This window comes from Homo sapiens, chromosome 11, assembly GCF_000001405.40.
Source record: "Homo sapiens chromosome 11, GRCh38.p14 Primary Assembly".
In the NCBI taxonomy this organism is placed as follows: domain Eukaryota; kingdom Metazoa; phylum Chordata; class Mammalia; order Primates; family Hominidae; genus Homo; species Homo sapiens.
In genome coordinates this window covers 86,374,349-86,388,568 of record NC_000011.10, presented here as the reverse complement: position 1 = coordinate 86,388,568, position 14,220 = coordinate 86,374,349, and the positions used below count along the sequence as shown (strand labels likewise).

The 14,220-nt window shown below is 39.3% G+C and overlaps 1 protein-coding gene and 1 long non-coding RNA gene across 4 annotated transcripts in view, besides 1 other annotated feature; one reads left to right on the top strand and one right to left on the bottom strand.

The window, feature by feature from the left end:
- Positions 1-13,682, bottom strand: part of CCDC81 (coiled-coil domain containing 81) — a 48,220-nt gene extending 34,538 nt beyond the window's left edge. Inside the window, exons 1-3 of one of the 2 annotated variants that reach the window (NM_001156474.2) lie at positions 13,327-13,682; positions 2,457-2,518; positions 897-1,053 (exon numbers count right to left, since the gene is read on the bottom strand). In NM_001156474.2, coding sequence (NP_001149946.1) covers positions 897-1,053; positions 2,457-2,518; positions 13,327-13,405 — 298 coding nt within the window. In that variant the 5' untranslated portion in view covers positions 13,406-13,682. The remainder of the gene's footprint in view (positions 1-896; positions 1,054-2,456; positions 2,519-13,326) is intronic. The other variant, NM_021827.5, reaches the window with a different exon arrangement.
- Positions 1-14,220, top strand: part of LOC105369421 (uncharacterized) — a 60,137-nt gene that overhangs the window by 7,532 nt on the left and 38,385 nt on the right. The window contains exons 1-2 of one of the 2 annotated variants that reach the window (XR_007062825.1): positions 194-296; positions 696-802. This is a non-coding gene — a long non-coding RNA (uncharacterized LOC105369421). Of the gene's footprint in view, positions 1-193; positions 297-695; positions 803-14,220 lie in introns of those variants that run through there. The other variant, XR_007062826.1, reaches the window with a different exon arrangement.
- Positions 13,648-13,942: a silencer, noted in NCBI's record as "tiled region #8024; HepG2 Repressive non-DNase unmatched - State 3:PromF, and K562 Repressive non-DNase unmatched - State 7:EnhWF". NCBI's record gives its function as "represses a minimal TATA promoter and a strong SV40 promoter by Sharpr-MPRA in HepG2 and K562 cells {active_cell/tissue: HepG2 | K562}" and the evidence as "EXISTENCE:reporter gene assay evidence [ECO:0000049][PMID:27701403]".

Here is a 14,220-nt window from a genome sequence, read left to right as displayed (position 1 = left end):
ACTCTGAAAATTAACTTTCAGGAACATTATCTTAGAGGACAGTTTCAGCCTTTTCACCTGTTGCCATCGGAGATAGATTGTCTCCATTTATCCAGGAGTGAGTCTGATGCTGGGGGCGGGGACAATCAGGAAGGTCGAAAGGAACACAGCCAGGAATCAGGAAGTATGCACCCAAAGGCTGCTAAGTAACCAAGGGAGGTGTTACGAAGCCCACACACTAAAGCTGGATGGAAGCAGTCTGTGGCAGGGATTATGCCTATTTTGTTTACCACTATATCTCAAGCACCTGGAACAAGGTCTGACACATAGTTGGCTCTCAATAAATATTTGAAGAAGGAAGGAAGGAAGGAAGGAAGGAGGGAAGGAGGGAAGGAGGAAAGGAGGGAGGGAGGGAGGTTGGCTTTAGGGTATGCGAAAGGTATATAAGGTATGCATTAAGTCTTTATAGAATTATTCAACTTCTAACTTTTAAATTTTAATGATTTGGATTATACATATGATAGAAAGACAGTTATCTTTTTGACAGCTGATACTGACTGTAGTTCTCCCAACCAGAGATCCTAATTAACTTTCTCTTCTTTGTAACCACTTTTAATTTCTTAGGATCTGAAATAAAGGGCTTACAGCTCTGTGGTGTGGCTTTTACATAAATTTTCCTTTACGTTACATCAGGTTTTTTCACTCCTTCCTCTTAGGTTACTGGGGTTTAAAATGGCCTTCAGGAAGACTCTATTATTTTTCCACTTTGGCCCCTCCCTCTGCCAAAAGCACCTTGTGAAAAGTGAGTTCCTCAAATAAGAAGGTAAGACAGCAGCACTGGCTACGCTTTGCCCTTTCATTTTTTATCCCCAGGACAGTAACCTTCTGGGAAAATCCTACATATCAGAATTATTTACCAGGAGTATATACTTTGTTTTGTTTGAGTCCATGAATCTGCACTAGCTTCTCCACCATGATAAACACAGGCCTCTGGATTAAGATAAATTTGTTGTTTCCCACCTCAAGCTTTTGTCTTATGAAAGTGAAAGTTCCAAATGCTGGAATCTGAACCCCCTGAAAGGAAAAAACAAAACAAAACAGAATTCATTGAAGGAGTGAAGAAAAAATAATCCTTAATATTATTATCTAAAAAACACGAAGAGAAGTAAGCTTAGGCCTTAAAAATTCAGTGATCTCTAGGACTCTTCAGAGCTATAGCATTTTATAATTCTAAGTTTTCAAATAAGCTTAGTATAAAATGTAATACATTGGTCCATGATGATTTGCAGACATCAGATCGCTCATCTCTGTATCATCAAAAGGCTAAGAAATTGGTGTGAATGCCATAGCATCTTTTAATCTTTAACCCAGATTACTCCTGTCCTAAATTGTGTGACATTTTAAATTTTAATCATCTGCCATTAGAGGAATTTAAGAGGGCATGAGAATCTCTGCTTTCTCATTCCTACTTTTAGATTTTATGTCTGCCACAGCAGACAACCAGCATCCAAATCATATGCTGCAATGTAGTGATCCTGGCTGATGAGTAGAAGCAAATGTTTTTGCCTCTCATACTGGGTTTCTGTCTCCCTGGAGATATCATTCATCAAGAACTACAAACTCAAATGCCTACAGGAGCCAAAAAAGAAAGCAAGAGAGTGAAAGTAGCCAGCCAGGGAATGTGATGGCTATGGACTGCACACCCCGTCTAAAGGGGAGAGCACATCTTGAGCTCCAAATGTGTCACCACGTAGCAATGGAAGACTAGTACTGTTAGATCTGCTGATTTTTCAATGAAAGGGAGGGAAAAAATCCAAAACATTATATGATTTTTCCCAAGTTTAAGTGCTGATAACAAATTCAAATTCTCAAACAAAACAAAATAAATTTGAAGTATGAATTCTGCCCAAGAGCTCTCATAGTAGGACCTCTGAATGGGGTATAAAAGTTCCACAACTTCCCAGCTTCCCCCAAGCTCATCCCCAAATCTCTGTCCAGTTCTATGGCATCTAAACCCAAGACTTAACAGGAGGGAACAGTCCAGCCCTAGGCAAAGTTTCTCATTTTGGCAAGTCTTCTATTTCAGTTAAAATCCATTCCCTGCAAGGAGGCAAGACAAGAAGCGTTATATCCTTCTATAGCTATGCCAGGAACTATCAGATCACAGACAAACAGAACTCATCTAGTTTCCTTACACACACCCAGGCTGATCAGCACTACACTCTGTAACACTAGAAGAGCAGAACTTACAAATTCATTACCTAAAAATAAAATTCATGTTTGTTAAATCTATTACCCACAAGTCCGAACATGAGCATCAAAAAACATAGGACTGAAAGTTAAACAGGATGGCTCTAAAGTCTACTGCCCTGCTCCCAGCAACATTATATAAGACTATGAAGGAAGGATCCTTTAGATGCCTACATTAAAATTAATAAATTAATTTATTAATAAATTAATAAATTAATAAATCTTACCTTGTGCAGGGTTAACTGCCGTCTCACAAATTCTGATACATTCCCCCAGATAATAGAGACTTCTGAAATTCAAAAGTAACCAGAAATTATTCAATTTATATGCGCACCCATGTGACAGTATCTTAGTGCTAATAAATAAAAATGTAAATATGAAATGTGGAAGCAAATGACATTAATTCCTGATTAATTTAGAATTAACAAAAAACAAGGCCATTCCCAAAAGTTAATTTTCTTGGTAACTAAGGCTTACTCCCTTAAGTTCAGAAGATGTGATTTAAAATAATAATAATAATACATTTTTAAAGAAAATATTTCTACAGCAAAGGGAACTCTGTCACACCCTTTTCTTTATTCTGTAAAGAGAGTTAATCAAGTATAACCCAACCTTTTCTTAATGACCCAGCAACCGTTTATCGGGTGTCTATTCTGTGCCATCTGATTAATAAGAACGTTCATTCTCACACCATTCCACAACACAGGAATAAGGCAAAAGGCCACTAAGGCGTGAAAGGCTGTTGTGTGTACATTAACTTTTCCTACACTTCTATTTTTGCTAAATCCTCAAATCTGCATTTTATTCTCATTTTTCACTGCTAAGCTACCAGCTGTCACTTGCTCTACTAGTACTCTGTGGGCTCCTGGACCAGTCATAATTCATTGCTTCTTATCTACTGTGTTCTGGAAATAACAAATACTAATAGTATGTCTAAAATAACTTTTTTTTTTTTGAGACAGGGTATCACTCTGTCACCCAGGCTGGAGTGCAGTGGCGTGATCTCGGCTCACTGCAACCTCCGCCTCCCGGGTTCAAACGAGTCTCCTGCCTCAGCCTCCCGAGTAGCTGAGATTACAGGCGCCAGCCACCATGCCTGGCTAATTGTACTTTTAGTAGAGACAGGGTTTCGCCATGTTGGCCAGGCTGGTCTCCAACTCCTGACCTCAGGTGATCCACCCGCCTCGGCCTCCCAAAGTGCTGGGATTACAGGCATGAGCCACCATGCCCAGCCTCAAATAATAATTTTTTAAAAACACACATTTGAGTAGGACAAGGAGCTTTACTTTGAATTAATGCATACACTTGGCACTATCAATTTTGACTGACTGGAGGAAAGCCTTCCAAGTTTATCTTCTTGTTCTGAGCTGTGTTCCAAACAAGTGTGGTAGAAAAATAGGTAGTTGCCAATAATGAAAGTGTTAATGTATGATATGAACCTATACTGTAGTATGACTAATATTTCAAAGTCTAGAAAATTATATCTGTGTTAACATCGCCCTTCCAGACCTAACCATGTGTTTATCAAAGATACTTTCCAGTTAAGAACTCTCTGCAAATCAAGACTGTTACGTTTTAATTCTCAAAATAAAAAATCAAGAACAGTGACATTAACAAACTTGCCATTTAGGGACATAGATGCAGCTGGTGACAAAAGCCCAATCCTTTTTCCACTTTGGAAACTGCTTGTTTTATTGGTTTATTGGTTTATCTTTTTTCTAACAATTTAAACCACTAGCTAAAACACGGAGAGTGCAATCTTTTAATTCTGGTATATCAGAGTTATAAATATTTTTATTAATAGGCCAGGAAAGGGGCAGGTTTGGTGGATGAGAAGTAGCAATGACTTTTATGACTATCTGGGAACAAGTTTGGTGATGGAAACTCACTCACCCATTAATAAAATTAGGGCTGCAAGCTACAGTGAGCACGAGGGCCAAGATTCTGCCCCTCATTAATCACTTTCTATAATCAGGCATTTCCCTTACTCTGCCCACCCTACCTTGTTCCCCACTCCTCCCCACCCCCACAGCCCATAGATTCTACTACAGGCTGCTAAGAACTAAGAACCAGTCCTAACTGTATACTGAATTAAAACTTTCATCATGACCAAAAATTTCATTAATTCACAAATGCAAAATCTCAGTATCCAGATGTACATGGAGAACTTTCAAAGTTATTAAGTCAAAATTGTTAAATTTATGACTCTAACAGTCTTTCACCTCTAAAAGCTCGTATTTTAGGAAAACAACTACACTGAAGATGAAATGATTTCATTAGAGCCAGGAGAAAGTGTATAGTTTGCAACCAAACCCCAGTGAAAAGACTCAGCTGAGTTTAATTGAAAATTTGAGGATTCTGTCTTTCTTCATTTGGATGATATATTCAAGCCCACTGTACTGTTTTATTCCATAAAGCCTAACAGATAACATTACATAAGAGCAGAACTAATTATTCTAAACTAAAATTTGCTATTTCTCATTGAAGAGAAAGAAAACTATGCATATCATTTGCCTTAGGAGGCTTTAGGCCCCTGCAATCCAATCGGAATAGATTTGGAAAGCTTACAGACTGTAATTTCTAAATTTGACGTTTTCTGACATCCCAAAGAGTCAGAGAGGATATCATTAAATCTCAAAATGAAAAATATCAAGTCTAAAAAGCAAATTGAAGGATATACTACTTTCATATTTTAAGGGAAGCCAGGGTTCTTACTTATTTCAATCAAACACTGAAATGCCAAGAATCACTCTTATAAAGAACTAATCCCTAGACATATACTCTATATTCAGTTCAACCTTCATTTGGCTTCAAATTCTTAACATTCCATGCGCTCAAAACCATATGTTTAAACACCGTGCCAAGTAACAGGATACTGTATCTTACATATGATCATTATTTAAAAATCCTACATGCCTGTTCTGTAAATTATACAATACTATATGCTTGAAAAAGTCATTAATGTCAAAAAACAGATATGTTTCCTGATGTTATAAAACTTATCTTCTAAAATTAAAATACTGATATATGGAATAGTATAGCAGAATAGTAAAGGATGATTTGAACAAAGAAACATATTCCCAGAGCATAATGCAATGGAAAGAGCAGTGTGCTACGTGGAAGACCCACAGCCTTCCTGCTTCCATGGACTCAACTTTTACCCAGTTCACATCTGTAAAATGATGACAGGGCCTTCTAAGAACTATAATTACATAATATTAAACTTTGCTAAAACATACAGAAGCAGCAGGAATATACAATGATGAATATATACACTGATGAAAGTTAATTTATGTGTTTTGCTCAGTTTGAAGTTTATCTTCATCCTTGTTGCAATAGATAATTTGTGAAAGGTAATAAATAGTAGTTTGACTTTCACTTCAGCTCTTGCTGAAGTCACCAATGGTCTCTTTGTCAATACATTCAATAAACGTATTTAATTCTGAGCCCTCAGCCATGTCTGACACTATTGATCACTCCCTCCCCGTTTAAGCACCTCTCCTTTTGGCTTTTATACTACTACTCTCATTTGGGTTTTCTCCTAACTGTCTGGCCATTTCTTCAGTCTCCCTTGCAGGCTTATCCTCCTCCACCCAACCATTAAATGGTAGGGTTTTTCAAGGTACAGTCCTAGGTTGCTTCTCTTTTCACTCTATACTCTCCACTTCAGCAGTCACACCCACACTCAGGATGATTCCCAAATGTTTATTTACAGACCCAGACTCCTTGCCACCCCCTCTTTGAGATTCTGGACCCGTTTATCCAACTGCCTGCTTATATATCACAAAAAGGCCCTTCAACTTGCCCAAAACCGCAATCTTTCTTCTCTTAAATCTTGTCTTTTATCCAGGATTTCGGTCTCAGTGAATGGCACCACTATCTATTCAGTTATATGAGCCAGGAACTCAGAAGTCATCCTTGAGACTTCTCTTATCCCTCACCCCTAACATCCAGTCCATCACCATAATCTGTAGATTTTACCTCCAAGTTGCCCCTCATTCATTGCATTCCTCTGCATTTCTACTATTACCAGTTTTAGACCAAGCTACCATTTGTTCTCACCAAGACTATTGCTATAGGTATTCTTGACCCTCCTATTCATTCCCCACATGGCAACCAGAGTAATCTTTTCCAAATATAAACTGATCATATAATTCAACTTCTCCTTGACCTCCAGCTCAAAACACTTAATGGCTTCCCATCAGGCTTAACATAAAGGTCAACATCCTTAATATGACTTACAAGGCCCTGTATTACTTGACCCCTTCCTTTCTCTCTAGCCTACTTTAGAATACACTGCCTCCCCACATCTACAGAGCAGCCAGTCAACTGTCTTTCAGTTGCTCCATCACATCATACTCTCACCATAAGTTTTTGCCCCTGTCATTCCCTTTGCCAAAATCATTTTCAACTCACTTCCACTCTCTACCTCTCTGATCCATTTCATCTACTTAATTCCAACTCATTCTTCACAACTCAGCTCAAATTATCCCTTCTTTAGCCATTCTTGGCACACACCCCCATCCTTACTCTCTATTAAATGTTCTCATTTGACTTCCATTTCTTGGTGCTGTATGTAAGGAAGTCACCACTCCATCCTAACAACTAAAAAGTTGACCAGACAGAAAAATCAACAACTCTTCTTGGGTCCATAAGATGAGGGAGGACACAGGACAAACTGCTGCCCCTAAAATTGGAGAGACAGAAAGGCAAATACCAGGAGGAATGGCTTCCTGAAACGGACTCACATGCAGAAACAGCATCAAGAACCAATGCTGGGTAAGAAAACTCAAAGTGTAATTGACAAATTTCTGGAGGCTCAGTGTGGACAACACCAAGAGTTAAAACCTCCAGGGGAACCCAGTCATGGAGGGAGGGTCCCCACATATTTTAAGGTTTACTTCCCAGAGCTCAACCAGATTCCCACAGCCAAATATCCAGGTAAATATAAGAGAAAAATCTCCTTGTGCTTCAGGTGGGAGGAAGAAAAAAATACCATTTTTAAATATGCCAGAGTACTCTGTTGTCCTTAATGACCTGCCCTCAGAAGAAACTAGTTCACCAGAGCCTAACCTGCTGGGATATTATCAGAGCCTAACTGACCTGAGAGAAGGAAAATGACCAACTCCAGTCCACTTTAGCCATTCTGTCCCACCTAAGGAGAAAGGAAAAATCTGAGAAACATTTGTAAAGTTCACAGTCCAGAGGCACAGGCTCACTAAAAGACTGAGACCTGATCATAGGACTATAGAATGCTTTCCCACCCCCCACACTCTACCCCTACATTACTAAAGGCCTATTTATAGCAGTTACTTTTACCCAGTACATCACTTCCAGCTATCAAGAAAAAATTACAAGGCATACTAAAAGGCAAAACATACAATATGAAGAGACAGAGCAACCATCAGAGCCAGACATGGCAGGGATGTTGGAACTATCACACTGGCAATTTAAAACAACTATGGCTAATATGCTAAGGGCTCTAACGGATATAGTAGACAGCATGCAAGAACAGATGGGCTACATAAGCAGAGAGATTGAAATCCTAAGAAAGAACCAAAAATAAATGCTAGCAACTAAAAACACTGTAACAGAAATGAAGAATGCCTTTGATAGGCTTACTAGTGGACTGGACATGACTTAGTAAAAAATCTCTGAGCTTGAAGATGTGACAAGGAAACTTCAAAAGGAAAGCGAACAAAGACTGGAAAAAAAAAACCCAGAATATCCAAGGATTGTGAGGCAACTACAGAAGGTGTGTACCCATAATGGGAATACCAGGAGAAGAGGGAGAAATATTAGAGGAAATGCTTGAAACAATTACTCAGAATTTCCCTCTAATGTCAGACATGAAACCACAGATCCAGGAAGCTCAAATAACACCAAGCTGGATAAATACCCAAAAAAAGATACCTAGGAATATCATTTTCAAAGTACAGAAAATCAGAGCTAAAAACAAATCCTGAAAGAAGCCAGGCAGAGAGAGGGAAAGGAACACCTCATCTATAGAGAAACAAAGATGAGAATTATATTGAACTACTTCTCAGAAACCAAGCAAAAAGAGAGTACCATAAGACATTTCAAGTGTTGAGAAAAAGAAAACACCAACCTAAAATTCTGCATCCTGTAAAATTATTTTTCAAAAGCAAAGGAGAAATTATTTTTCAGACAAACAAAAATTAAGGGAATTAATTGCCAGTAAACCTGCTTTTCAAGAAATGTTAAAAGATGTTCCTCAGAAAAAAGGAAAATGATGTAGGTCAGAAACTTGGATCTGCATTTAAAAAAAAAAAAAAAGGGAAGACCATCGAAGAAGGAATAAGTGAAGGTAAAATAAAAACTTTTTTTTTCTTTGAGACAGGGTCTCATTTTGTTGCCCAGCCTGGAGTGCAACGGTGCAGTCTTGGCTCACTGCAACCTCCACCTGCTAGGCTCTCAAGCAGCCCTCCCACTTCAGCCTCCTGAGTAGCTGGGACTACAGTCGTGTGCCACCATGTCCATCTAATTTTTTTGGTTTTAATTTTTTGTACAGACAAGGTCTCACTATATTGCCCATGCTGATCCTGGACTCCTGGACTCCAGCGATTCTCCCACCTTGGCATCCTAAAGTGCTGGGATTACAAGCATGAGCCACTGCACCTGGCCTATTTTTATTATTCTTAGCTGACCTAACAGATAGCAGTTTGTCTAGTAATAGCAATAATGTATTCAATTATGTATGCTTATGCATATATCATATATATTTACATTTATATATAAGTGAAATGAAATGAATGACAGCAATGATACAAGGGATGGGAGGAAGGAATTAAGATTTTGTTATTATAAAACAATCACACTACCTGTGAAGTGGTACAGTGTTATTTGGAAGTGGACTTGAATTGACTGTAAATATATATTGTAATCTAAGGCAACTACTAAAATTTTTTTTAAAAGTATAACTGGGCCTGGCACGGTGGCTCACACCTGTAATCCCAGCACTTTGGGAGGCTGGGGTAGGCGGATCACAAGGTCAGGAGATCAAGACCATCCTGGCTAACATGGTGAAACCCCACCTCTACTAAAAATACAAAAAATTAGCCAGGCATGGTGGCGGGTGCCTGTGGTCCTAGCTACTGGGGAGGCTGAGGCAGGAGAATGGCATGAACCCAGGAGGCGGAGCTTGCAGTGAGCCAAGATCACACCACTGCACTCCAGCCTGGGTGACACAGCAAGACTATGTCTCAAAAAAAAAAAAGTATAACTGATATGCTGAAAAAGGAGAAAATGGAATCGTAAAATGCTCAGTGGAAAATAAAGATGGGTACAAAAAACAAGGGCAAAAAGTAGAAAACAATAACAAATATGGTAGGTATTAATCTAGCTATATCAGTAATCACTTTGAACATAGGCTAAGTGTACCAATTAAAAGACAAAGATTGCTGGAGTGGACCAAAAAACAAAACCCCACTATATCTTGTCTAAAAGAAACCCAATCTAAATCTAAAAACATATAGATTAAAAGTAGATGGATGGAGGAAAATACAGCATGATAATACTTATCAAAAGAAAGTAGGGGTAGCTATATTAATTTTAGAACAGACTTCAAATCAAGGAGAGTTGTCAGAAATAAAGAGCATTACATAATAATAGAGGGGTCAATCTTTCAAGAAGACCTAAGAATTTTTAATATGTATGCACCTAAAAATAGTATGTCAAATTACATTAAGCAAAAACTAGTAGAACTGCAAGAAGAGATAAATGAATCCATTATCATACTTGAAGACTTCAGTACTCACCTATCAGAAATGAACAGATCCAGCTGGCAGAAAATTAGTAAAGGCATAGTTGAACTCAACAGCACCATCAATCAAATGGATATAGTTGATATCTACAGACTAGTTCATCCAACAGCAGTAGAATGCACATTCTTCTCAAGCTCACATGGAACATTCACCAAGACAGACCATGTTCTGGGCCATAAAACACACCTTAACAAATAGAAAAGGATAGAAATCATACAATGCCTGCTGTCAGATTACAATGGGATTAAAGTAGAAATGAATAAGAGAAAGATAAGTGGAAAATCCCAAAATACATGGGGACTAAATAATATGCATCTAGATAACACATGGGACAAGTCAGAGGACTGTCACTACCCAACTTCAAGATTTACAATAAAGCTGAGTCATCAAGACAGTGTGTATTGACAAAAGAACAGACAAATAGATTAAAAGGACACAAAAGAGAGCCCAGGAATAGACCCATATAAATACAGTCAACTTATCTTTGACAAAGAGGCAAAGGCAATACAATGGAGCAGATAGTCTTTTAAACAAACATTGCTAGAACAACTGGACATCCACATGCAAAAAAAAAAAAAAAAAAAAAAGAACCTAGGCACAGACCTTACACCTTTCACAAAAATTAACTTAAAATGGATCATAGACCTAAATATGAAGTGCAAAACCACAGAACTCCTAGAAGATAACATAGGACAAAACTTAGATGATCTTGGGTATAGCAATGACTTTTTAGATAAAACACCAAAGGCATAATCCAAGCAAGAAATAATAAGATGGACTTCATTAAAATTTAAAACTTCTGCTCTGTGAAAAACAATGTCAAGAGAATGAGAAGACAAGCCACAGACTGGGAAAAAATATTTGCAAAAGACACTGTCATGCAAAATATACAAATAACTCTTAAAAACACAAAGAAAAGAAAAACTCAATTTAAAAATGAGCCAAAGCCCTTTATATATATCTCATCAAAAAATGACAAGCATATTAAAAGGTGCTCCCCATTATTTATCATCAGGAAAATGCAAAATAAAACAATGAGATACCAATACACCATCTATTAGAATGACCAAAATCTAAAATACTGACAACAACAAATGCTGACAATAACATGGAGTGACAAGAATTCTCATTCATCGCTCTTGGGAATGCAACATAGTACAGCCCCTTTGGAAGACAGTCTGGCAGTTTCTCACAAAACTAAACATCCTCTTACCATACAATCTAGCGATTATGTCCCTGGGTATTTACCCAAGTGAATTGAAAACTTATATCCAGTTTTTTAAAACCTGCACACAGATATTTAAAACAGCTTTATTCATAATTGCCAAAACTTGGAAGCAACCAAGACATTTTTCAGTGGGTGGACAGATTAAAAAAAAAAAACCTGTGGTACATCTAGATAATGGAATATTATTCAGAACTAAAAAGAAATGAGCTATCAAGCCACAAAAAGACATGGAGGAATATTAAATGCATATTGCTAAGTGAAAGAAGCCAATCTGAAAAGGCTTAAACTATATGATTCCAACTATATTACATTCTGGAACTGGCAAAACTATGAAGACCGTGGAAAGATCAGTGGTTTCCAGATTTTGGGATTAGGGGTAGGGGTGAATAGGCAGAACAAAGGGGAGTGAAATACTCTATATGACTATAATGATAGATACATGTCATTTTACATTTGTCCAAACTCATAAAATGTACAACACCAAGAAAGAACTCTAATGTAAACTATGAAACTTGGGTGATTTTGATGTGTCAATGTAGGTTCAATTGTAACACATGTACCACTCCGGTGAGGGATGTTGACAATGGGAGAGTCTATCCAAGTGTAGGATTAGACAGTATGTGGGACATCTCTGTCTGATATGGTTAGGCTTTGTTTCCCCACCCAAATCTCATCTTGAATTGTAATCCCTAGGTGTTGAGGGAGAGGCCTGGTGGGAGGGGATTGGATCCTGGGAGCAGTTTCCCCCATGCTGTTCTCATGATGGTGAGGGATTTCTCACAAGATCTGAGAGTTTTATAAATGGCAGTTTCCCCTGGTCCCCCGGGCTTCTCTCTCTCTCTCTCTCCTGCCGTCATGTAAGACATGCCTGCTTCCCCTTCTGCCATGATTTTAAGTTTCCTGAGGGCTCCCCCAGCCATGAAGAACTGTGAGTCAATTAAACCTCTTTCCTTTATAATGACCCAGTCTGGGATAGTATCTTCATAGCAGTGTACAAATAAACTAATATATTGTCCCTCCTTCTTAATTTACTGTGAATCTACAACTACCCTAAAAAATCATCTTTAAAAAAAGTTCTTACTGTACCATTTACCTCCTCCCTGGTATCATTTACCTAAATTGTAAATTTGCATTGATTTGTGTGATTATTTGATTAATGTGCATCTTCCCCACTAAACAGTAAATTCCAAGATGTTTGTTCACCGTAAGTTAACTAGTGCTCAGCATATAGCAGGGTTTCAGAATTCCTTGAATGACTATACATAAATTTACAAATATAGCAAATGTTTTTAAATTCATTAAGCCATTATCTTCAATGCATCTTTCAGGATGATTTGAGAGGAAAAGATAGGAGTGATGCAGGGGAAGAGAAAGAAGCAGCCATTCCTATTTGTTTTCTGCGGTCATTTGGTTAAAGCCTAAGCAACATCTCTAAGTTACAATGGTTTGATAATAATGAGTTTGCATTCCTGCAGCACCTCTCTTCTCCTGTGGTTTGCAGACAGATCTCAGCCTCACTTTGGGGTGACTCTTCTACAAACGATGCTAAAAACAGATCTTGTCTTGCTACTAACCAAGCCTAATGAGTTTTCTCTGAGAAGGTGCCAGGTCCCCTTCCAAAGTACTTACCCTGTAGCTTTTTATGATCATCTCATTTTCTTAATACAACGGCATGATGTCAAAGGCAACAAAATCAACCGTCTTTGCATGAACTCTCAAAAGGAGCCATTTAGGGTCCCTGCATCTCTTTTCTCTAGGTAGGCAAAAGGGTTGTGATCCATCCCAGCGAGTGGTGTGGGAGTGGCTGTTTTTACCTAACCTTTATTGAGCACTTACTTTGTGCTAGTCCGTTTATTGAGCACTTACTTTGTGCTGTCTACGCATCCCCTGGTTTAATCAAAACCAGAAAAGGGTCTCTGGGCGTCCAACGTGGGCAGGATGTGATTACCAGCTGGTTGTCAAGGCAACTTAGCCACGGCAGGCCAGGCCTGAGCCAGGGAATTGGGAAGTGGGTCCCCCCGCCTCCCCTGCAAGCAGATGAAGATTCAATCCCCAGGGCCACCCCCTGCTACCCAACACGCTTACCCTCCTGGCTCAGCGAGGGCAGAGTGGGCAGCACCTGCCTGCCCAGGTCCTGCAGGGCACGGGCGATCGTATCCAACATCTCCAATTTCCAGGTGACTCCGTACTGAATGTTCGATGGGTCTCTTCTTTCTTATATGGAATGTGCACAAAAATAATTTTCCCACCCTCCAGCCCCTTCTCCACGGAGCTTTGGATGTGCCTTAAAAATAAGAGTGACGAAAATCTTGAACTTCTTGACTCTTTTTCTTCTTTCTTAAATAAACTTAAACATTGGTTCTCGCCGTCCCTCCCCACTGCTCTGGCTCTCGGGCAGCTCCCACAGCAAGAGCCGCAGGAACTGATGTCCGGCACCGAGTGAGAGTGTGCAGACCCGCGCCCTCCTGACCAACGAGAGACCCAATGAGGGGTGAGCTGCAGCCTCGAGGAAGGGAGGGGCACCAGGGAGAATAGGCCCGGCAGAGGGAAGGGCGCGTTGCTGGGACGCGAGAAAGGCTCGCTCGGTTGCTAAGGCGTCAAGGCTGGGATTCGACCTCACCCCCTTAGATGGGCGGCTTCCAGGTTGCCCAGGCGATTCAGAAGCTCGAGGCAGCGAGGTTGGAAGTAACTTAAAAATAAATAAATAATGGGTTTTTACTTCTCTGACCCCGGGCAGCGAAGAAACGTGGTTAGAGTGGTAGTTTTTGTACCTTGGACAAATCTAGGAATGCCTTTTGCCCAGAGAGATCGATATTTGAGTCTCCAGATCTGTTTGAGAGTTTGAGTTTGAGCTGGAATTTGTTTCTTGGTTTGCTTTTCCCTGGGCTCTCTTCCTAGGAAATGGAGAGCTGGAGAAGTGGGGAGGAGGGAATTGACTTTTTTTAAACTACAGTCATTTCCCCCTTTTCTCTACATGTC